Genomic DNA, 22,927 nt, shown 5'->3' on the forward strand with positions numbered 1-22,927 from the left:
TGATATACCATAAGCACTCCATAAGGATCCACAGTAATCACTCAATAATGATGTACAGTAAGCACTCAATAAGCACTCAGAATATCACTGTTGCTGCTGATTATTGTAATTATTACCTCCCACCAGGCAGCTTGGAACATGGGTTTGTGGCCAGGAGCAATCCTGTGGAGCTGGGGGAGAGAAGTTGGTGGTTGTGGTTAAGTTGACTTAAAATTCCCTGAAGGTTTTGGTGCTGAGAATGAATGCCATTGGTAATGCCCATCTTTGAGGCTCAGGTAGAATAACATGAGAAGGGATCCCTGGGCAGGTGAATGAATGACCTGCCCTATCTGGAAGATCCAGGCAGCTGCTGAACAAGTATGCAGGCCATTCATTAATTCATTCATTCACTCATTCATTATTTCCCGAGTCCCTGATGGATGCTACGTTGTAAGTAAAGTGCTAGGGTGCCAAAAGGAGCAACAATAGTTCCTTCCCTAAAGAGCTGTCATCTAGGCAAAGAGTTGGGGTAAGAGAATGACAGGAAAGCAGTATGGTCACCATATGCCTGCGCCATTCATCAGCTGTGTGATGTTGGGCAAGCTACTTGACCTTTCTTTAGATCATGTTTTCTTATCTGCAGAATGGGGATCATTGAAGCACCAGCCCATGGGTTTGTCATGAGGAATTCCTAGGTTAAAACAAGTAAAAGTTCTTAGAGGGCCAGGGACAGTGTCCTAGAGGGACCGACAATTGAGCTGATGTCTTGGCTATGTTCCCCAGAAGCAGACTCTGAGATCAGGACTTGAATGCAAGTGATCTATCAAGGAAGTGCTCCTAGAGGAACTGGTAAGGGAAGGGGAGGTAGGTCCAGTGAGGAAAGGCTGCCAAGCAAGAGTGCAATTTTAGACAAAGTGCTGTGGAGGGTGGCTCCTGCTTGATCCTGAAGGGGATGTCTGGAGTGTAAATTACACCTCAAAGTTGTCTTGAAAACAAGGGTGTTAAGTTTAGCCTAAAGCTTCCTCCTTACATGTTCTAAGTTCAGTCCAAAGATTTCCCCATACACAGTGAACTGTAACCTAACTGAATGTGTAAACAGATTGTAACCTATTCTTGTGCCAGTCTCCGAGTTTTGGCCAATCAAAGGGGTCCAACTGTTCAAACTGTGTTCAAATGAGGCAATCACTGGGCTACAACCAATCCAGCTGTTTCTATACCTCACTTCCGTTTTCTGAACCTCACTTCCATTTTCTGAGCACCACTTTCCTTTTTCTCTCCATAAATCTTCTTCTGCCACATGGCTACACTGGGGCCTCTCTGAACCTGTTCTGGTTTGGGGGATGCCTGATTCATGATTCCTTCTTTGTTCAATTAAACTCAATTAAATTTAATTTGCCTAAGTTTTTTTTTGTGGGGGGAAGTAAGCTCCCAGGAGGTCACAGCTCTCTGCCTGAGCACAGAAAACAGCCCCAGTAGCCCAAGGGCAGTCCTTGAAAAAGGAGGTGCAGGCCCAGGCCATTGTAGTCAAAAGAACATCCAATCTGGGGGTACACACATGAAAAAATGGATCTGTGGGAATTTGGATGGCGCTCCAATAGTGTCAGCTTCAGCTGAAAGGAAGCAAGCACGGTTCTGAGCAGTAAAAGGTATTTGCTGGAAGTTGGTGCAGTGATTCCGAAGGTGTGGAAAGACCACTGAAATGTCAGACTTAAGGTATCAGTTTGATTCCAGCACAGCCACGTACTTCTTTGAGCAATGCTAATAATAATCGTAGCAGCCACAGTTTATTGAGTACATACAGCTATGAACTGAATTCCATCCCCCTCAAATTCATATGTTGAAGTCCTAACCCCCAATGTGACTGTATCTGGAGATGGGGTCTTCAGGAGGTAATGAAGTTTAAATGAGGTCATAAGGTTGGGGCTCTGATCTGATAGGATTTGTGTTACTGTAGTAAGAGACACTAGAGAGCTCATTCTCTCTCTCCACCATGTTAGGACACAGTGAGAAGCAGCTATGTGCAAGCTGGAAAGAGAAATATCACAGGAACTGAACCTTGCTGTAACCTTGATCTTGGAGTTTCCAACCTCTGGAACTATGAGAAAATAAATTTCTGTTGTTTAAGCCACCCAGTCTATAGTATTTTGTTATGGCAGCCTGAGCTGACTAAGACACACACTATGCCAGGCACTGTTTAAATCACTACATACATCATCTCACTTAACCCTTACAATCAGCCCAGGAGGCAAATTCTATTAACATCCCCATTTACAGATTGGGGCTATAATAATATTAGCTACTATTTATTGAACATTTGCAATGTGCCAGGCACCATGCTTAACACTTTACATTTCCTTCCTTCCTTCCTTCCTTCCTTCCTTCTTTCCTCCCTCCCTCTTCCTTCCTTCCTTCTTTCCTCCCTGCCTCCCTTCCTCCTGCCTTTCTTTCTTTCCTTCTTTCTTTCTCTTTCTTTCTTTCTTTCTCTCTTTCTTTCTCTCTCTCCCTCCCTTCCTCCCTCCCTCCCCCTTCTTTCTCTGTTCCTTCCTTCCTTTCTTTCCTTCCTTCCTTCCTTCTTTCTTTCTTTCTTTCTTTCTTTCTTTCTTTCTTTCTTTCTTTCTTTCCTTCCTTCCTTCCTTCCTTCCTTCCTTCCTTCCTTCCTTCTTTCTTTCTTTCTTTTTCTTTCTTTCTTTCTTTCCTGACAGATTCTTACTATGTTGCCCAGGCTGGCCTTGAATTCTTAAGCTCAGGACTACAGGTGTGTCCCTCTGCACGTAGCTTACACTTGTTTTCAAACTGAATTCTCTGAACACACCTGGAAGGAGAAGAGGACACTAAAGTTCATAAAATTAGGTAATTTATTCAAGAACACAGGGCTGTAACACAGTGGTAGAGCTAGAATTAAAACCCAGGGTATTCTAAATCTCTGCTCAATAAATTTGCAAGACAGGTTGTACAGCTAGTAAAGGGTGTGGCCACTTGGATTTCAGAGCCATGGAAGTCGTCTGCATCTCAAAGTCTTCTGCTTACCTATAAAGGGGATGGTGCCTCCCTCCATCCTTTCTTCTCAAGGGAATCAGGAGAGTGCCTCATTATTGAGAAAGGCTATGTCTGGTGATTCAGGACTGCCTTTCCAAGCCACACAGCAGATCTCTCTAAAGTATCCGTGGAAGAGCATCATTACATCTGTCCTTCATGCTTGTAGAATCTGAAGGAGAAAACCTGTTTCCTCATACGCTCTTTCTTGCTGTCTGTCACTGTTTCAGAAGAAAATAATTTCCTCCCCAATGTTCAAACTAGATGAGCATGTGAAGCCCTGAATAGAAGATTATTAAAGGAGCCCACAGTCTGCCTTCCAGTCTGCAATCTAATTAGCTGAAAGAGGCCCCTTAGGGTCAGCCCCAGAGAAATCTTCTACGGCCTAGAAAGCCGTCTAATGAGAGAAGACAGCCCATCGAGGAAGAGGGAAAAGCCTATGTTTGTGTGTCTGTGGGAAGGAGGAGAGACTCTGGTGCCTGTGTGTACTTCCATAATCACTTCCATAGGTACCTCCAACCAGAAGACTAAAAAACATAATCACAGAGCTCTCAGTAAACACAGCCTGGGTGGTTGTCACCCTGTAGCCTGGCACAGAGGACACCTCCTAGGGTTTTTCAGAGAGAGGAAGATTGGTTTTATTTAGAGCTACTGCAAGCCTCAGGTAGCCAGCCTCTTCTCACCACTATAATAGACCAGAGAGGAAAAAATAGACTAAAAATAGCCTGCGATTGTGTCAGGGAAGTCTCTCACATTCGGAGAGTCACAAGTGGCTGGTTAGAGGGGATGGAAGGTAACAGGTGATGCCAATCAAGTATCCAGGGAGTCACTGCTTCAAGAACAGTAGGAAACAGGGCCTGCCCTTGGGGACTTAACAACTCTGCCATTCATATTCAGTCACCACCCATTCATGCATTCAGCAAACACGGACTGAGTGCCACTATGAGGCAGGCATTGTACTAGGTGCTGGGATACGGAAGTGAAAATGCCAAATGATTTCCCATTCCCATGAAGCTTCTATTATGGGGCCAGAGACAGACAGCATGCATGAAAAAAACTAACAAGATAATTATAGAAAGTGAGAAGTATGTTATGAAGTGAAATAAAAGAGGAGCAGCTCTACAGGGCCCCTCCAACTCCAAGTTCACAGTGGGATCAGTGGAGGCCTTCACTGTGATGCATCTCAGCTTAACTCCTCCCTCTGCTTGGTTCTGCTTCCTTCACTCCCCCATAGGTGCTAATCCTAAGGGCAGTCCCTAGAGGCTTCCTGCAAACAGCTCTCTAACTCAGAGTATGGGTTCCAGAGAATCCAAACTAAGGCAGTGAGTGATGGAAGGAGAACCACTTCATACAGTGTTGATAGCGAAGGCCTGTCAGAAAGAGTGACGTTGGGGCCTGAATGATGGGGAGGACCAAGCTTTGAGAATATACTTGGAGAAAGTGTCTCAGGAATAGGGGATGACTGTGAGATGGGAACAAGGTTGGTGTATTAAAGGAATAGAAAGATGGCCCGTGCAGTTCAAGCACAGTGATGCTTGAGGAAAGAGGAGTGAAAGGATAGAGGACAGCAGGGCCAGGTCTTGCAGGGACCCACAGGTTGCAGTGAGGAGTTTGCATTTTATTCTAAGGGGGTGAGAAGTCATTGGAGAGGGTCAAGCACAGGAATGATAGGATCCAATTTACATTTTAAAAAGATCACTGTGGCTACTGTGAATTCAATTTCATCAGGAAGACAAGACTAACTGATGTGGAAAATTAGAGAATAACCCCAAAGCTATATAATTCTGTACCTATAAAGGGCACTGAATAAGGCTCATTGGCATGGGTATATCTCATATTCATTGAATATATACTTAGCAAATGTAATAGTTGAACACCTGTTATATGCCAGACACTGTGCTAGGCTCTGGGATACAACAAATAAATGAGATAAATAATAGCCTGAACCCTCATGGAGCTTGCATTTGTAGTGGGAGGACTGTAATAATAAAGTGCTCAATAGGGTTGCATAGACTTAAAGCAGGTCATTGGAAATGAAATACAAGGTAAGGGCTTTCTGAAGAAGATAGGACTTGGAACAGGTGGGGAAATATGTAGGAAGCAGCCATTGTAGATAGAAAGAACTCCAAGAACAATACCAGGGTAGCAGTGGTGAGCATGGTCAAACAGTGTCAATAATTGCCATCTATTGAGTACCTGCTATGTGTCAGATATCGTGCTAAGAATTTTGCATCTTTTATATTGTGTAATCTTCAGAGATATCACATAAGGCAAGCATTATTTTTCTCTCATTTTATAGATGATGAAACCGAGGCTTACAGAAATATCTTATTCAAGATCACATATCTAGAAAGAGGGGGATCTGGATTTCCTCCCATGCCTGTCTGACTCAGAAACTGAATCCTATGCCCTGAATCCCTGCACTACAGTGACGTTCCAATAGGTGGGGTGCACCATAGAGAGCATCTTGATTGGCCAGAAGTGGCCCCTAGCTGTCTAAACAAGTCTCCTACCGTTTCCCAGGACAAGTTCTGTGCCAAGACTTGCACGTCTGCTGTCGTGTGGACACAGCTCTTGGTTCTTCACTTTTCTGCCAATGACTTTCTTCACCATCTCTTTCCTGTGTCTCATTTGGCAGAGATTGCTAAATGGTCACCAATATCAGGTTCTGGTTTTTATGACACATGGTTTAATATATTTCTTAACATCCTTTACAGTTATTTGTGGCAGATGACTGAATTCTGGCCAATGGAGCATGAGTGGAAGCTGGTGTATGGCACTTCCAGGTCTGGTCCTTAAAAATCTCCTACTTATGCTTCTTTCACCTCCTGTCCATCTTGGAAGACATTCATTGAAGATGTCAGAGTCACTCTTAACCTGTGTCTTTGAGTAACTGTGTGGGGAAGGGACCACTCACCAACCTGGACCTACCTTGGGCTATTGTGTGAGAAAGAGATAAAATCTATTGTTTTGAACCATTACATGACTGGGTCTGTTTGTTACTGCAGCCCAGCCTACACTAACTCATACACCTACTTCCTGTCATGACTCCTGAGGACCCAACTCTCCTTTAAAATATCATTTCAGCCTTTGTTTAGGATTTCTGGAAGAGAAAATGGTAATTTGGACCATTCCAAAAAATTTAGTTAAACCAAGGAGTCTATAGACAAAAATCAAAGAGTGAGTGGATGAAAACTTCATGTTTTCTGTAGTTATAGCGATAATATGATAAGTGACAGAATTTTTTAAAAAGGGAGAAATAGAGAGAAAGAATCATTCCACCCACTCTGGAAGGCACTGGGGTGTGTGGCAGCAATGGCGGAGGTGAGGGGATCTTGTGGTAGCTCCTCATGGGTTTCTGTCTTGAAGGTTTCCTTCTCTGCCTTAACTTTGTGTTCAACCAGGAGTAAAAGCAGTTCAACCAGTAAAAGCCTGGTGGGGGCAAGAAAGAGAAGATGAGAGGGCATCGCCCTGTGTGATGTCAGATTGGGGCAGGTGTGAGGGGAACAGCTGTCTTGCAATTAGCTCAGGAGTACGAGCCTCCCTAAGGACTGTATGAGTTCTGGACACTTCAGGAGTCTTCAGCCAGTGACATGGTTGATATGGATCAACTCATAAACAACTTGGAGGTGCAACTTAATTCAGAAGGTGGCTCAATGCAGATATTCAAGCCCATCACTGGCCCTACTCAGAGCACAGATCCCCCTGAGATAGAAGCAGAAATAATGTGACTTCTCCACCACTCCTGGATGCCAACCCCATGGAGAACCCAGCATTGTTTAATGACATCAAGTTTGAGCCCCAGAAGAACTTTTGGCGAGTGATTTCAGCCTGTCCCCAGTGGAACCAGTTGACTTCTCCTCTCACAAGCCCAAGGCTCCTCTCCACCCTGTTAGCATGCTGCAAGCTCCAGGACATCCTCCCAAGCCACAGTCTGCTCCCGAGACCCTTGTGGTGTTCACTTCAACATCAGCAAACATTCCTGCTATTCTGACCACAGGATCTGTCCTGACTCCCTCTCAGGGCACTGGTGGCTAGCAGATCTTACATGTCATTCACAGCATCCCCTCAGTCTGTCTTCCAAGTAAGATGGGTTACCTGAATGCCATCCCAGTCGTGGTGCAGTCTCTGCCCATGGTGTATACTACTTTGCCTGCAAATGAGGGCCCTGCACCCAATACAGTCCCACTCATTGGAGGAGATGGTACAAATGCTGGATCAGTGAAAGTTGACCCCGCTTTCATGTCTCTACTGGAGATTCCAAGTGACAGTGAGGAGAGTGCAATTAAGAGTGGATCCTCAATCTCACAGAGTCTGCAGGGACTAAAGCAAGAACCAGCAGCAATGGCCCAAATGCAGGGAGGAGTCGCTTGACTTGAGAAGAAGACGGATGCACCAATGTGACTTTGCAGGATGCAGCAAAGTGTACTCCAAAAGCTCTCACCCGAAAGCTCACCACAGAATTCATATAGGAGAGAAGACTTATAAATGCACCTGCGATGGCTGCTCCTGGAAATTCGCTCACTCAGATGAGCTCACTAGCTCTTTCCTCGAGCACACAGGCATCAAGCCTTTCCACTGCACAGACTCCAACTGCAGCTTTTCTGGTTCTGACCACCTGTCCCTGCACCACTGTCGCCATGATACTATGTGAGCTGCACAGGTCACACTAGAGAAGCTTCACTGGTATCTTTCCTGTTTGTGTATTGAGGTTAGGACCACTTTTTTCTCTTTGACTTCAAGTTGCATCTGGAATTGACTTGAAGCAGCCCACTGAGCCAAGTTGAGGAGACTGGAGGAAAACATAGCTGGTCTCCCGTGGGGCTCTTCGTATTCCACCTTCACCTCTCCACTGTCCAGACCTGGTTTTTTCAACCTCCACATGGGTTGAATTCCAGTGTGACATACATGGCTGCCCTCCCATTCCCCCTGCCCTGAAATAGGACATTTTTCCTGAAGTAACAAAACAGGAATCAAATTCAAGGCTGTGAACAAACATACGCTGCTTTTTTCTTTCCTATTTTTTTCTTGTTTTCTAGAACGCTTATCCATATGTTTCTAAAATAAGTACCTAAAGGTGGTTTGATAGTGTCCTAAATTACTTTTCTTGAGTTCCTAGATGGAAGGAGTGTAACAATGTAATTGACTGTTAAGATTTACAGGGATTCGATTCCTGAGTATGAGGCACATTTCCAGTGAATAAGCTGAGTCCCACACCAAACTCAAAGGTTTAGATAAATCGAATCCTATTTCTTCTTAAAGTTTGGTTTTCAAAAAAAGAGGGAGAAATAGGGATAGAGAAAGAAGAGATCTGAGAAATAAAAAGAAGAGGAACTAGAAATATGAGAGAAAAGATAGGAAAGAAGAGAAAAGGAAAGAGAGGAAACAAGATAGAAGATACAGAGAAGAAAAAGCATATGTACAAAAGGACTGAAGGAGCAAAATTAAAATTGAATCACTCCACAGTTCTGAGAAGATAAGGCTCTCCTAGCTTGACCTCCCAGGAACCGATCACACCCAGCCTCTGAGGTAAAAAGATGTTTCTTTCATGGTCTAGGACCAGGTGTATTAGGCCTACTGCCCTGCTATCTTGCACACCTGCAAAGCATCTGGATATGGCATTGTGATCAGCGGCCTGGGATTAAGTCCCAATCAAACTCAAGAAAATTGTGCTTCCTCCCAGCAGGTATAAAAGAAGAGGGATAAAGGTTACATCAACAGGGGACAACCTCAGTTTCAGTAACTTTATATTTAGATTGCAGTGACTGGGAGTTAATTAGGCTTGGTCTTTTTTTCACTCTCCACTCCCCATCTTTTTCTCGACTAATTAGTTGGAAAATGGGTTCTAAAGAAAAGCAGAATGATCCTCGGGATTGGTAATGGGGTGGTGGTAATGGAGTAGTTAGGAAGAAAGCCCCCTCAAAGCGCTTTGGCTCTAACAGGCCTTTTAAGAAGTCAGTATGTTTGTCAGGACTACGGACAGCTCCAGGCCTGCCTGTGGGAGGGCCATTGAGGAAGCAGAGAAGGTGGCTTTAATAAAGGAGCCCTGGAAACTCCTGGATAGCGGGCGCCTGCAACCTTATTTAATTACGCAATGATCAGCAACCTTTACATTTTAATTCGGAGTTACCATAATGAAGCCATCGTGCTTCTACTTGGGGCAGGCCTGCTCATTCTTCCGTTGCTCCGGAAAGGTCTTCAGCACTAATTGGCTGTTTAGTAGCTGGATCTTGACAGTATGAAGTAGGTAGCGATCCCCTTGCTTTCCTTCTAATGCATTCTCTGGTCTCTCTGCCCTCCTCCTCTTTGATTTGCCTAATTAGTGCTAATAATTTAAAAGATGCATGGCCCTCTTTTGATCCTGCTGTCGATGGCAGACAGAGCCATTCCATTAGCAGATATTAAATAGTGCTAATATGTGGTGACACACAGTTGGAACTGGCTTGCACACAGTTCCAGCCTGGGACCACAGGGTTGCCTTACACACACACACACACACACACACACACACACACACTTCATTCACTTTATTCCTAGAGAAAAGTCATCGTAGGCAGTAGCAGCTTTAAAGCACTGTGTCTTAATAACTGTTTGAGGCCCCCTTTATCGTGGGCTGGCATTGAAAAACCACATGATTTATTTCAGGGTTTTAATGATTAATTCATGAATGTGTCTGCAAGAATGCCAAGGTCTCCAAAATAATGAAAGCCTTTTTTTCCCCTAAAGTTGTTTGTTTTCATTTCAAATCAAAGCAATCTGTCTTGAGCATTCATTTCTCTCTCCCTTCACTCCCTTCACCCTGAAAAAAAAAAAAGACTGCTCATTTCACTGGGGTCTTGATAACATTTTGACAAGTAATAGAATTCATTTACATTTATCAAAATAAATAGATAAGTCTTCCATCTTCTCTCTGTTTAGCTGACATGGACAGGCCTTTCACCTCCAGCAGGCATCAATAAGCTCGAGGTCATGTGCAATGATCCAGCCTGTGTGTTCCCAAATATTCTGAAACTTTTTTTGAAATGTAAAGAGGTGCTCAGACTGAGAGATTTTGGATGCTCTTTCAGAAGGACCCTTCCCAGGTCCTGGGAAAGCAGACATTGTAGCTGTCAGTGTGGCCTGGGCTCGTAAGTCATAAACCATACCTTACTTATTTAAAGGCAGTAGGATGCCATGGTTAATAATGTTGGTTCTATAATGGGATTAGTTAAGTATTAATCATAGCTTTATCATTTTCCCATCAAGTGTGTGACTTTAGGCAACTCAATCGTAATAGTAACAGCTACATTATAGAGTTGTTATCAGGATTAAAAGAGGTAATACATGTAAAAGGCTCAGCACTGCAACTGATCATAGTAAGTGCTCAAAAAAAGTCAGGGATAATGATGATAATGGTGATTGAATAGCCTTGGTCATTGCACACTGGGCAAGAGCAAACAAACCCCTTGGACCTGGGCCTCTGCACAATGGTCTGGATGAGAGGGTTGGTGACTGTGAGAAATGACATTTAGAACCTGTGGGGTTACCAATAACTTTCTCTTTGGGCTCCTATTTGCTTTATGTTTTTAAAATTTCATTCATTTATTGGTAAACTAACAGCCACACTGCATAAAGTTCAAATGGCACAAAAGGAGATGCAGCCAAAATTAAGTTTCCTCCCCATTTTGTTCTTTCCTGGAGATGGTCCTTATTATACTGATCTTGTGTATCCTCCCAGCAATTTTAAATACAGATACAAGACACAAGGACCATATTCTGCTTACAGTTTTTTCTTTAAAAACTTGTGGTGTGTCCACCAATCCCACAGAAATATAAGCTACCATCAGAGAATGCTATAAACACCTCTATGCAAATAAACTAGAAAATATGGAAGAAACGGATAAATTCCTGGACACATACACCCTTCCAAAACTAAACCAGGAAGAAGTTGAATCTCTTAATAGACGAATAACAGGCTCTGAAATTGAGGCAATAATTAATAGCCTACCAACCAAAAAAAGTCCAGGACCAGACGGATTCACAGCCGAATTCTATCAAAGGTACAAACAGGGGCTGGTACCATTCCTTCTGAAACTATTCCAATCAACAGAAAAAGAGGGAATCCTCCCTAATTCATTTTATGAGGCCAGCATCATCCTGATACCAAAGACTGGCAGAGACACAACAAAAAAAGAGAATTTTAGACCAATATCCCTGATGAACATCGATGCGAAAATCCTCAATAAAATACTGGCAAACCGAATCCAGCAGCACATCAAAAACTTATCCACCACGATCAAGTCAGCTACATCCCTGGGATGCAAGCCTGGTTCAACATATGCACATCAATAAACGTAATCCAGAAACAAAGACAAAAGCCACATGATTATCTCAATAGATGCAGAAAAGGCCTTCGACAAAATTCAACAGCCCTTCATGGTAAAAACTCTCAATAAACTAGGTATTGATGGAATGTATCTTAAAATAATAAGAGCTATTTATGACAAACCCACAGCCAATATCACATTGAGTGGGCAAAAACTGGAAGCATTCCCTTTGAACACAGACACAAGACAGGGATGCCCTCTCTCACCACTCCTATTCAACATAGTGTTGGAAGTTCTGGCCAGGGCAATCAGGCAAGAGAAAGAAATAAAGGGTATTCAATTAGGAAAAGAGGAAGTCAGATTGTCCCTGTTTGCAGATGACATGATTGTATATTTAGAAAACCCCATCATCTCAGCCCAAAATCTCCTTAAGCTGATAAGCAACTTCTGCAAAGTCTAGGATAAAAAATCAATGTGCATGAAATGGAATACTATTTAGCAATGAAGAGAAATGAACTAATAAAAACAACAGCTTCAATAAATCTGAAAAGCATGCTCTGCAAAAAAAGCTTAACACTACATACACCATAGTTCATTTCTCTGAAATTTTAGAAAAAGCAAACTTATCTCTAATGACAGAAGTCGCCTGAGGTCAGGCATGAAGGGATAACTGCAAAAAGGCAGGAGGGAAGTGTTAGGGGTGCTAGAAATATTGTATACCTGTATTAAGGTACCTCATGTACCTCATAAATACTTACACCTACAATGTACCCACAAAAATTAAAAACTGTAAAAATGAAATAAAACTCTATAAACTGTAAAAAAAAATCAATGTGCAAAAATCACAAGCATTCCTCTACACCAATAACAGACAAACAGAGAGCCAAATCATGAGTGAACTCCCATTCACAATTGCTACAAAGAGAATAAAATACCTGGGAATGCAACTTACAAGGGATGAGAAGGACCTCTTCAAGGAGAGCCACTGCTCAACGAAATAAAAGAGGACACAAACAAATGGAAGAATATTCCATGCTCACTGATAGGAAGAATCAATATTATGAAAATGGCCATACTGCCCAAGGTAATTTATAGATTCAATGCCACCCCCATCAAGCTACCAATGACTTTCTTCACAGAATCGGACAAAACTACTTTAAAGTTCATATGGAACCCAAAAAGAGCCCGCATAGCAAAGACAATCCTAAGCCAAAAGAACAAAGCTGGAGGCATCATGCTACCTGACTTCAAACTATACTACAAGGCTACAGTAACCAAAACAGCATGGTACTGGTACCAAAACAGATATATAGACCAATGGAACAGAACAGAGGCTTCAGAAATAACACCACACATCTACAACCATCTGATCTTTGACAAACCTGACAAAAACAAGAAATGGGGAAAGGATTCCCTATTTAATGAAAGGTGCTGGGAAAACTGGCTAGCCATATGTAGCAAGCTGAAACTGGATCCCTTCCTTACACCTTATACAAAAATTAATTCAAGATAGATTAAAGACTTAAATGTTAGACCCCAAACCATAAAAACCCTAGAAGAAAACGTAGGCAATACCTTTCAGGACATAGGCATGGGCAAAGACTTCATGACTAAAATACCAAAAGCAACGGTAACAGCAGCCAAAATAGACAAACCGGATCTAATTAAACTAAAGAGCTTCTGCACGGCAAAAGAAACTATCATCAGAGGGAACAGGCAACCTACAAAATGGGAGAAAATTTTTGCAATCTACCCATCTGACAAAGGGCTAATATCCAGAATCTACAAAGAACTCAAACAAACCCTTTATGAGAAAAAAACAAATAACTCCATCCAAAAGTGGGCAAAGGATATGAATAGATAATTCTCAAAAGAAGACATCTATGCAGCCGATAAACACATGAAAAAATGCTCATCATCACTGGCCCTCAGAGAAATGCAAATCAAAACCGTAATGAGATACAATCTCACACCAGTTAGAACAGCAGTCATTAAAAAGTCAGGAAACAACAGATGCTGGAGAGGATGTGAAGAGATAGGAAGGCTTTTACACTGTTGGTGGGAGTGTAAATTAGTTCAACCATTGTGGAAGACAGTGTGGTGATCCCTAGAACTAGAATTACCATTTGACCCAGCAATCCCATTACTGGGTATATACCCAAAGGATTATAAATCATGCTACTATAAAGACACATGCACACGTATGTTTATTGTGGCACTATTCACAATAGCAAAGACTTGGAACCAACCCAAATGTCCATAAATAATAGACTGGATTAAGAAAATGTGGCACATATACACCATGGAATACTATGAAGTCATAAAAAGGATGAGTTCACGTCCTTTGTAGGGACATGGATGAATTAGGAGAAATACCTAATGTAAATGATGAGTTGACGAGGGCAGCTAACCAACATGGCACAAGTATACCTATGCATCAAACCTGCACGTTGTGCACATGTACCCTAGAACTTAAAGTATAATAAAAAAAATTGTAGTGTGTTCTTTTCTTTGATCCTTGGATGAAACAATAAAGCCTAAGACCATGGCACATCACTCCATTTAGCTTTAGTCATTCCCCATTGATGGATGTTTAGGTTGTTTCTAGTCTTTCTGCAACATAACACAGTCTTGAAATCAGCTAAGGAATAGAGATTTGTTGGTTTCTTTTGCAGGAGAGACAATGAAAGGAATGTGTATCATACCCTTGCTTTTTTCCTCTCTACAACATTCATTCCTTATACTTTTAAAAACAGAATCTTGTTTTTCCTTTGGAGAACTACCCTTCACTCACTTTCTGGCTGACCCTACTTCTGGTTTCAAGGATGAGATGTGACTAAAGCCCAACCAATCAGAAGCACTATTTTTACATTTATCAAAATAAATAGATAAGTCTTCCATCTTCTCTCTGTTTAGCTGACATGGACATGCCTTTCACCTGTCCAGTGATTGGTTCATGGAAGATCATGTGACCAAGCTTAGGGAAAGATAGTCAGACCTGAGACTTCTGCAGAAACTGCTGGGACCAGGGCTCCATCTTCCCAATGAAAATGTGGAGCTAGTGGGCGGGCTGGAAGGGAAGAGGTACTAGAAACAGGAAGACCAGGTATGAAAGGAATGTACTGCAATGGTGGCTGCAGTGTGGCTATACTGCAATGGTGGCTGTACTGCAATGGTGGCTGCAGAACTGTGGAAGAGGAGTTAACAAGAAGTTTATTTTACAGAAAATTCAGAGCAGTTGGCTAAACTGCAGAGAGGGCCAGAAGAAGTAGGAGGAAGAGATTCAGCATGACTCTGAAGGTTTTGGGTTTGGAGAACTGAAGAATGAAGCTACTTGAATGAATGTGGGTATTGAGAGATGAAGCTTGCTGGGTGGGTAAACTGGCTGTTTGCCTGTCCTTTTCCCATCTGATCTTTGTCACAGGGAGCTACATTTCCCAGCGTCCTTTGACATTTAGTTCAGGAAAGCATTTTTGGAAGACTGAAGAGTGAGGGAGAGGAGAAGCTGGAGAATATTCCTCCTCCTCTCTCTGTTTCTAGTAGAATGGCTTGAGGTGTCTACCTCTCATCTCTGATTCCATTTGTAGCCAGACAGCCTCTCTTTACTTGGTTTTATTTCCAACAGGCAGCTCCTGCCATGATTTTAGGGTCTGCTGGACAGCTGCAGCTTTCAGGCTCTGGTAATTCCAACCTTTTTTGCTGTCCCTCCATCCTTAGGGTTGGTGTCATATTCCTTCTGTGGTTGATCTCTGGGTTGCCTCAATGTCTTCTGCTTGACTTCTTGGACCTTCCATCACTGGAGTAGTCAATTGCTTGTATTAAGTTCTCTCCATTTGGAACACCTAGTAGGGTTTCTGTTTTTGCTGGATGAATCCTAATTGATAGATTGAAGAAGCGGAAGGAGGGAGAAGACATGGGCGGAATGTGGGTTGGTGCACAGACAAGAAGGAAAGGTATGAAAAAACACAGGTCTGGGACTTACTTGCAAGATGGGAGGTGCTCAAGGAGAATGAGTTTAGAAGGGGAGGAAGGCAAGGACGGGACCTAGGGATAGTTCCACATAACTCATGAATGATGCTGAGGCATTAGCCAAGGTGGCTTAGAAGTGATAGCTTTCAGAGATGTAAGAGAACCAAATGTAGTCTTACTGTAACTAGGGAAGAATTTTAAGGAAGTTCGTGAGAGAGGAGGGTAAGAGTCACGGTCAGAAAGATCACTTGATTGATATGTGGGGGTCAAAAAGAATGAGGGCATTAAACAGACAGTCTGGTTCTAGTCTAAGTTAACTTGACCATAGTGCTATACCATTTAAAGCAAGAAGTTAGGAAGGGAAAAATGTAGAGAAATGGGAAATTCAAGGTTGATATTGGGGAGATGACTAATACTTTTGTTATGGGGTAGCTACATTATGAAAACTTTTTGCTATAAACTATGTGGAAGAGTGTGACTTGGCTCATGGTGCTGCCAAATTCACTTAGTCATGAACTCTGGCTTTGAAAAAATATGAAGAAGTCTTTATGACCTCTGGTTCATTGTCTGCTATAGAAGCTTAACTGTAGAGATTGACACCTGTCTTAGTCTGTTCAGGCTTCTGTAACAAAATACCTTAGACTTGGTGTTTTATAAAGAATGAACGTTTGTTTGTCACAGTTCTGGAGGCTGGAAAGTTCAAGATTAAGATGCAGTGGATTCAGAGTCTGGTAAGGGGTCACTCTCTGCTTCCAAGATGGTGCCTTGTTGCTGTGCCTTTGCATAGTGGCAGATGAATACTGTGTCCTCACATGCAAGGAGGGCTAAAAGGGGCATACTTGGTCCCTCAAGACATTTAATAAAGGCAATAATCTGGTGGGACCTTCATGACCTAATTACCTCCTAAAGGCCCCACTTCTTAATACTATTGCATTGAGGATTAAGTTTCAACAAGAATTTTGGAGAAACGCAAACACTCAAACAATAGCAATACAAAAAGAAAGCTACCATAAGTCATAGGCCCATGGACTCTTGGAGATGGAAAGGGTCATTTTACAAAGGGTCAAATGGAGGCCCAGAGAGACTCAGGCATTTGAGACCACGTGGGCTGCACTGAAGAAAAGTCATTTTTAACATAATCCAAAGTCATGGAACCAGAAGAGCTGTCTCTCTCTCTTTTGCACATAATCTTGACTTCTTCAGAACTGGGATTCATCTTTCCAATGCAGGACAGTGGGAAGCCCAGTACAAGACTCAATAAATGTTGGGTGATTTAATACACAAATGGTGAGGAAGAGGTGATGAGTCTGACAGCCTGTGGACTTCAGAGTTGGAGGATTCCATGGAAAGACATCTCAGGGAAAAAAGTGACACCATTTCCTGAATTGAAATCTTCCATAGCATTAAACAAGCCTGGGCAGCATAGATAGACCCTGTCTCTAATATATATATATATATATGTATATATATATATAATTTTTTTTAAATAGCTAGGCATGGTTGTGCATGCCTGTAGTCCCAGCTACTTGGGAGGCTGAAGTGGGAGGATCACTTGAGCCTTGGAGGTTGAGGCTGCAGTGAGCTGAGATAGCACCACTGCATTCCAGCCTTGGTGACCAAGCGAGACCCTGTCTCAAAAATAAATAAATAAGCTTTTCTGGGGTAGCCACAGCATGCATAGTGGGAGAAAATGGTGTTGATGGATAGTGAGGCTAGATGATGAATCAGTTGGAAAGATTTTGAGCTCAAGAAACAGAAAACTCAACTTTCTTTGGTTGAAGCAATAAGGATGTTTATTGACTCACAGAACCAGAAATTTAGGTGCAAGGTAAGCTTTATAGTTGACCAAATTTTGTAGCTCTGTGTGCATTTCTCAGTAGTTCTCTTGGCTCTGTTTCCTGTGTGGAGCGGTTTCACACTCAGATGAGTATGGAGAGGCAGTAGTTCTCCTCACATCTCACATCTACTCATAATGACATCAAAGGACAAGAGAGAGGACTTTTGGAAGCTCTCCCAGAAGATAGAGGATGAACTCTTTCAGCTCTTGTCCTTGCTTTCTCTTAGTCTGTTTCCTAAACAGCACCCTAAGGGATCCTGTTGAAACATAAGCCAAATCATGACACTGTTCTGCTCAAAACCCTCTGGCAGCCTCTGTATAAAAGCTGGAGTCCTTTCCAGACCTACAGTGCCCAGCAGGATCGGCCTCAGTGTCACTTCTTTGACTTCCTCTTCTGCTCTTGTCCCTCTTGTCCACTCTACTCCAGCACACTGACCTCCCTGCTGCTTCTCAAACATGCTAAGCCCATCCTGCTCTAGGATCCTTTGCCTGAAATGATCTCCCTACAGACTTCATTATGACAAATCCCTCACCTTCCCCGGATAGTCTTCCCTGAGGACCCTATTTAAAAATGCAGCCCTTGGACTTTCATGCTTTCCATCTCTGCTCTACTTCACCTTGTTTCACTGATCGTCGTCAAATACTATACATATTTTATGATTTATTTTGTTTATTGTCTGTCTCTCTTCACAGAGTCATGACTTCTTTCTTTTCCCTGCCCCTTAATTTCTATATTCCCAGCATTTAATAGCAGTGCCTGGAACATAGTAGGTGCACAATAAATATATGCCAAATAAATAAACAAAGGTCTCGCCCAAGCTTCTCCTTTTCTTTCATTGGCTCAGTTTGGTCACATGACCTTCCTGAGTCAATCATTGCAAGGGTTTTGGGATTACTTCCAAAGCAATCAGTCTCATCCCTGGAGCTGGGGGTGGGGTTAGTTTCCTGTGAAACACATGGCTTCATGCAGACCTGGACAAAATCTGGATTCTTTTAGGAAGAAGAAGGAGGGGGAAATGTGTTGGTTAGGCCACCCACAGTGTCACCCACAGATGGTGCTATCCCTTTCTGAAGGCCTCACTGTGGCCTCCTGTATATGTCCCAACTCCCCCTCAGAGTGCTTTTTACTCTCTGAGTGAAAAGATGAGCATAATGGTGAGGACCTTCCCTCTGGGAAGTACGGCTGTTGGGAGCAGATGGGGGGATGACAAGGGGAAAAGAAGAAAATTTGCAATGAAAAAACACCTTTGAGAAGCGGCAATAAAGTCTGCAAAATGAGAAAATCACATGCAAACCCCAGATTGCAACTTCAGAGGTGCTAATGGCAATCCGAAGGAAGCACTTTTCTTGAATGACAGTCTAATTTTACCATTATTGCAGAGAGACCCACTTAAACATAGGAGCTCCTCTGCATAGGCTTCTGCATGTTGATGTCTGTGAGTGATAAAGATCTGAGATGTCCATTCATAGCATGGTACCCTGTGAGGACCTCTGGTGTGTAGGGCCCTGAGCCTGCCTTAGGAACCACCATCAAACCTGGGGCTCATCCTAACAGTTCAAGCACCATCAGCAGCTAGAGTCTGTGAGGACATTCACTTTTGCTCAGTAATGGCCATAGAAAGAGAGGATCTAAAAGAAGCTAAACTCATATCATGAATGGCTCCATTCAGCAACAGAGAAGTTTCAGCATATTCATTCTTTGATTTCATAGTAGATTATTTAATACCTGCTATGCAGTAGACATGATTCTAGGCACTGAGGATACACTCTTGCCTCTCTACAAAAGCAGCCAGGGTGCTCGTGTAAAAATGAAAACCCAAATCCTGTTCCCTGCTTAGAAGTCTCCTTATAAGGATTCTATGTCTCCTTATCACACTGAGAAGAATCCCCAAATCCCATAGGCGGCTCCTGCCCACCTTGTCTCCTTGTCTCCTGCCCACCTGGCTGGCCTCGGAGGTTCCTGTGCTCCAGTGTTACCCTGGCCGCCCTCTTTCTGCTGCTCTTTTACTTCATGCTAGTTCCTGCCACAGTTCTTTTGCACCTTTTGGTTCTGTTTCTCGGAGCATGCCTGCCCTACATCTACTCATGGCCAACCTCTCCTTATGCAGCTCTTGCACAGTGCTATGCTGTTAAAGATGCCTTGCTTGACTAATGCTGTACCATACACCAGGGGCGGCATTCAACTTTTCTAATAACAGGGTTGGTACCATCACTGGGTAATCCAAACAGATGCTAGCCATTTACAACTGGGACAGCATACGTGTATACCAGCTGAATGCCACCCAATCACACACAACTTCCCAGTCAGTAAATCAGTCAGTTACATTCATTTCTGTCACACTACCTGCCAGTCTCTGACATTATCTTGGTGGGGTTGTTTTACTCTCCCTTTTCCCCTCACTTTCTATTTCTTTTTCTTTCTTTCTTTTTTTTTTTTTCTTGAGATGGAGTCTTGCTCTGTCACCCAGGCTGGAGTGCAGTGGCGCAATCTCGGCTCACTGCAAGCTCTGCCTCCTGAGTTCATACCATTCTCCTACCTTAGCCTCCCACTTTCTATTTCTTAATTGCATACACCCATTAAAGCAAGTTTGTCTGTTTTGTTCTTTGTACATTACAGCACTGGCAGTGGCTAGTTCTGAGTCGGGCATAAAGTAGGCTCTCTGTAAATATTTGCTGAATGAAAGACCAAAACATCCCAGCCCTCAGGCAGCTTACATTCTGTGAGATAGGATTAGTGGTGGCAGTTTCAGAGGTGCACACCTGGACAACTAAATGGCCTTAGAATTCTGAATTCTGAAATCAGAAAGTAACTCTGAATTGGAGTGAATGATTATGACCCTGTGAGTGCCTGGGAGAGGGCAGATCTGCATAGCTTCTGGAATGATAAATCTGGGGCAATGTCTTCAGGATAGATGATCTACAGAAAAGACTATAGTTCTTGAGGACTTTTGCCACATCAGTTTGACCCTGAACTGCAACAGCACTCACTGTCTTCCTGCAATGTCGCTTCTTTTGTAGAGTCTGAAATGAATACGGCTCTTGATAGCTTAAATACCATCTTTAATAATCCTACCTAGAATGTCTTATTTAATTCTTTTTTTAAAAAATATGGAACGTTTCATAAATTTGTGTGTCATCCTTGTACAGGGGCTAGTTTTCTCAGTATTTTACCAATTTTAGTGTATATGCTGCCAAATGATGTCCTTGTGAGACAGGTAGGTGAAATTAGTTTCATTTTGCAGACTAAGAAACTGAGAGCTGAGCACAGTGGTGTGCGCCTGTAGTCCCAGCTATTCAGGAGGCTGAGGAAGGAGCATCACTTGAGCTTACGAGTTCAAGGCCAGCCTGGACAACATAGTGAGACCCCCATCTTTAAAAAAAAAACCAAGGCACTGAAACCCAATGAGATTAGATGACTTGCCCAAGGACACAGAATGAGGAAGAGGCAGAGGCAGAGGCAAAGCCCAAGCATTGTAGCATTATATTTCCACTGCACCCAAATGTGAGCTTTTTTGTTTTGTTTTTGAGATGGAGTTTCGGTCTTGTTGTCCAGGCTGGAGTGCAATGGCGCGATCTTAGCTCACTGCAACCTCTGCCTCCTGGGTTCAAGTGATTCTCCTGCCTCAGCCTCTGGAGTAGCTGGGATTATAGGCATGCGCCACCGTGCTGGGCTAATTTTTGTATTTTTAGTAGAGACGGGATTTCACTATGTTGGTCAGGCAGGTCTCGAACTCCTGACCTCAGGTGATCCACCAACCTCAACCTCCCAAAGTGCTGGGATTGCAGGTGTGAGCCACCGAGCCCAGCCACATTAGGGCTTTTAGGGTGTCCATCACCCAGCTGATCCATTTCTGGTCTTCTCTAGGGAGATGTTTATTTTGTTTTCAAGTGAGGCTCGAGTGAGAGTGGTTTGTGAGCCAACCACAGCACTGTCTTGACTGGATATACCATTTTATGCCATTTTGAAAATCCTCCCGTAGTCTTAAAATTGACATTATATTGAGATAATTGTAGCTCCACATGCATTTGTAAGAAATAATAGAGTGATCTCATATGCCCTTTACCCAGTTTCTCCCAATGATGGCATTTTGTAAAACTATAGTACAATGGGATATCGACTCTCACGTTTTTAAGAGAATTTAAAAAAATGCATTCAGTGAGTTCAGGGGCCAGGGCACACACCTCTGCCCCTGGGCTGTGGCAGCACTGCCCTGTGGGCCCAGAGTCAGGGGCTTGGGAGGCAATCTGACCTGCCTCTGTCAGTGCTCCCTGTGGGGGCTCCCTGGGGCTCAGCTTCTTCACCAGTGTAGCCAATGTGAGCTTCTTGATGGCAGGGGCCGTGTGTCTCTTGCCTTGTCTCTGGTCCCTCATGTGGAGTAGACTCAGGTAGACTTCCTGCTTCCACGGACTCAGTAAGGAAAGTGGACAGAGCCATGGAGCCTCCATATGGTGAGGTATGTCAAGGAAGCAGTGCTGCCAGGCTCTGGGTGACCTTGGGCAGATTTCATCGCTTCACAAGCCTTAGCCTCCTTAGCTGTAAAATGAAGGGCTGGATAATGTCCGTAAGAATCTTTCCAGTTTTGATGTAGGATTCTGTGATGTCAAAAATAAGAGAGATTGTATTATTGCGGATTGAAAAATAATTATCTTTTATGTGCCACATGTAACTTTCTATTTCTCAGGCTACCTGTTATGTAGCATCAACATTGCCTCATATATCAGACACTGCTGTAATAAGTATGCAATTTGTAGCTGCAATTTCCATTTTCTGGCAATATCTGATTTACACGAGGTGTTTTTAAAGCATGTCACTTATAACATACACACCTGCCAAGAGCCTGCTCTTTCATCATGACTTTTCAGCGAGGTCAGAGAAAGCGCCCAAATTCAAGTAAACAAACAGCAGGCAAGCTTTCAACACTAAAGCTTCTTTTCCACCTTGGGGAAGGATGTTGTCTCTCAATAGATGATGGTGACAAACCTCCCATATTCAGACCGGCTTATGTGGATCGGGACTGAACCTCTTTCTAACAGGTGCTTTGAAACTCCAATTGTAGAACAGGAGAGTGATTCACAAGCCTGTGTATGCAACAGGTGAGGGGCTGTTTGTGGAAAATTAGTTAGCTAAGAATCAATTCACTGAATGACCAGTTCATTGAGTGTTCAATTCCATTGATCATTTTGATAGAAATTTGAAGATGAATATTCAAGTGGTGGAGACAGAAGCAGGGTAATATGTAGGGGCATCTAGAAAACAAAGGATGAATTTGGTAAATTTTTCAACTGTTTATTGGACTTTTGGAAAATTGGTTATTTTGCATGTTGGCTGTTGGCAGATTGATTTTTGGCAAATTTTTCTGTTTCTGGAGGGTCAGTTCAGCCTGTTGGAGATCTGAAAAGTTTACCTTTTAGTGTTACTGATGCAGATTTTAGGCCCACTTTGTCCATCCCTCTGCGGCCAAGCAGAACATCCCTGAGCCAGCTTGATCTCAGGAAGAGAAAGAGGCATAGTAACACAGATTGTGCATGATGGACCTAATCTTTGCCTAATCCTGGCACACCTTGAGTGAAAAAGATTTTGAGGAATCTCTCTCCTTAATTCTGGCAGGAATTTAGTGGCCTTTGAAGCAGAGCCAAGCAGACACAAGCTTCATGGAAACTTGATCCTCTTACAAGCCTCTGAAGCCTTTTCAGCCAGCCCTTAAACACCACTGCTCATATAATTATGCTACCAGGATTTTTTTTCCAGCTTCTGACACTGGTGCAATAATGGTGAAAGCACTCAGGGACCAGGAAAAATAAG

The 22,927-nt window shown here is 43.0% G+C and overlaps 1 long non-coding RNA gene and 2 pseudogenes across 1 annotated transcript in view, besides 1 other annotated feature; 2 read left to right on the plus strand and 1 right to left on the minus strand.

Annotated features, from left to right (window-relative positions):
• Window positions 1-22,927, plus strand: part of LOC105371240 (uncharacterized) — a 124,894-nt gene that overhangs the window by 88,041 nt on the left and 13,926 nt on the right. The gene's annotated exons all lie outside the window — the stretch shown is intronic.
• On the plus strand, window positions 6,336-20,933 carry KLF8P1 (Kruppel like factor 8 pseudogene 1; annotated as a pseudogene).
• Window positions 8,818-9,018: a silencer, noted in NCBI's record as "peak2581 fragment used in MPRA reporter construct". NCBI's record gives its function as "represses an SCP1 promoter by STARR-seq MPRAs in K562 erythroleukemia cells {active_cell/tissue: K562}" and the evidence as "EXISTENCE:reporter gene assay evidence [ECO:0000049][PMID:32103011]".
• Window positions 20,227-20,324, minus strand: RNU6-257P (RNA, U6 small nuclear 257, pseudogene; annotated as a pseudogene).

This window comes from Homo sapiens, chromosome 16, assembly GCF_000001405.40.
Source record: "Homo sapiens chromosome 16, GRCh38.p14 Primary Assembly".
Classification (NCBI taxonomy): Eukaryota; Metazoa; Chordata; class Mammalia; order Primates; family Hominidae; genus Homo; species Homo sapiens.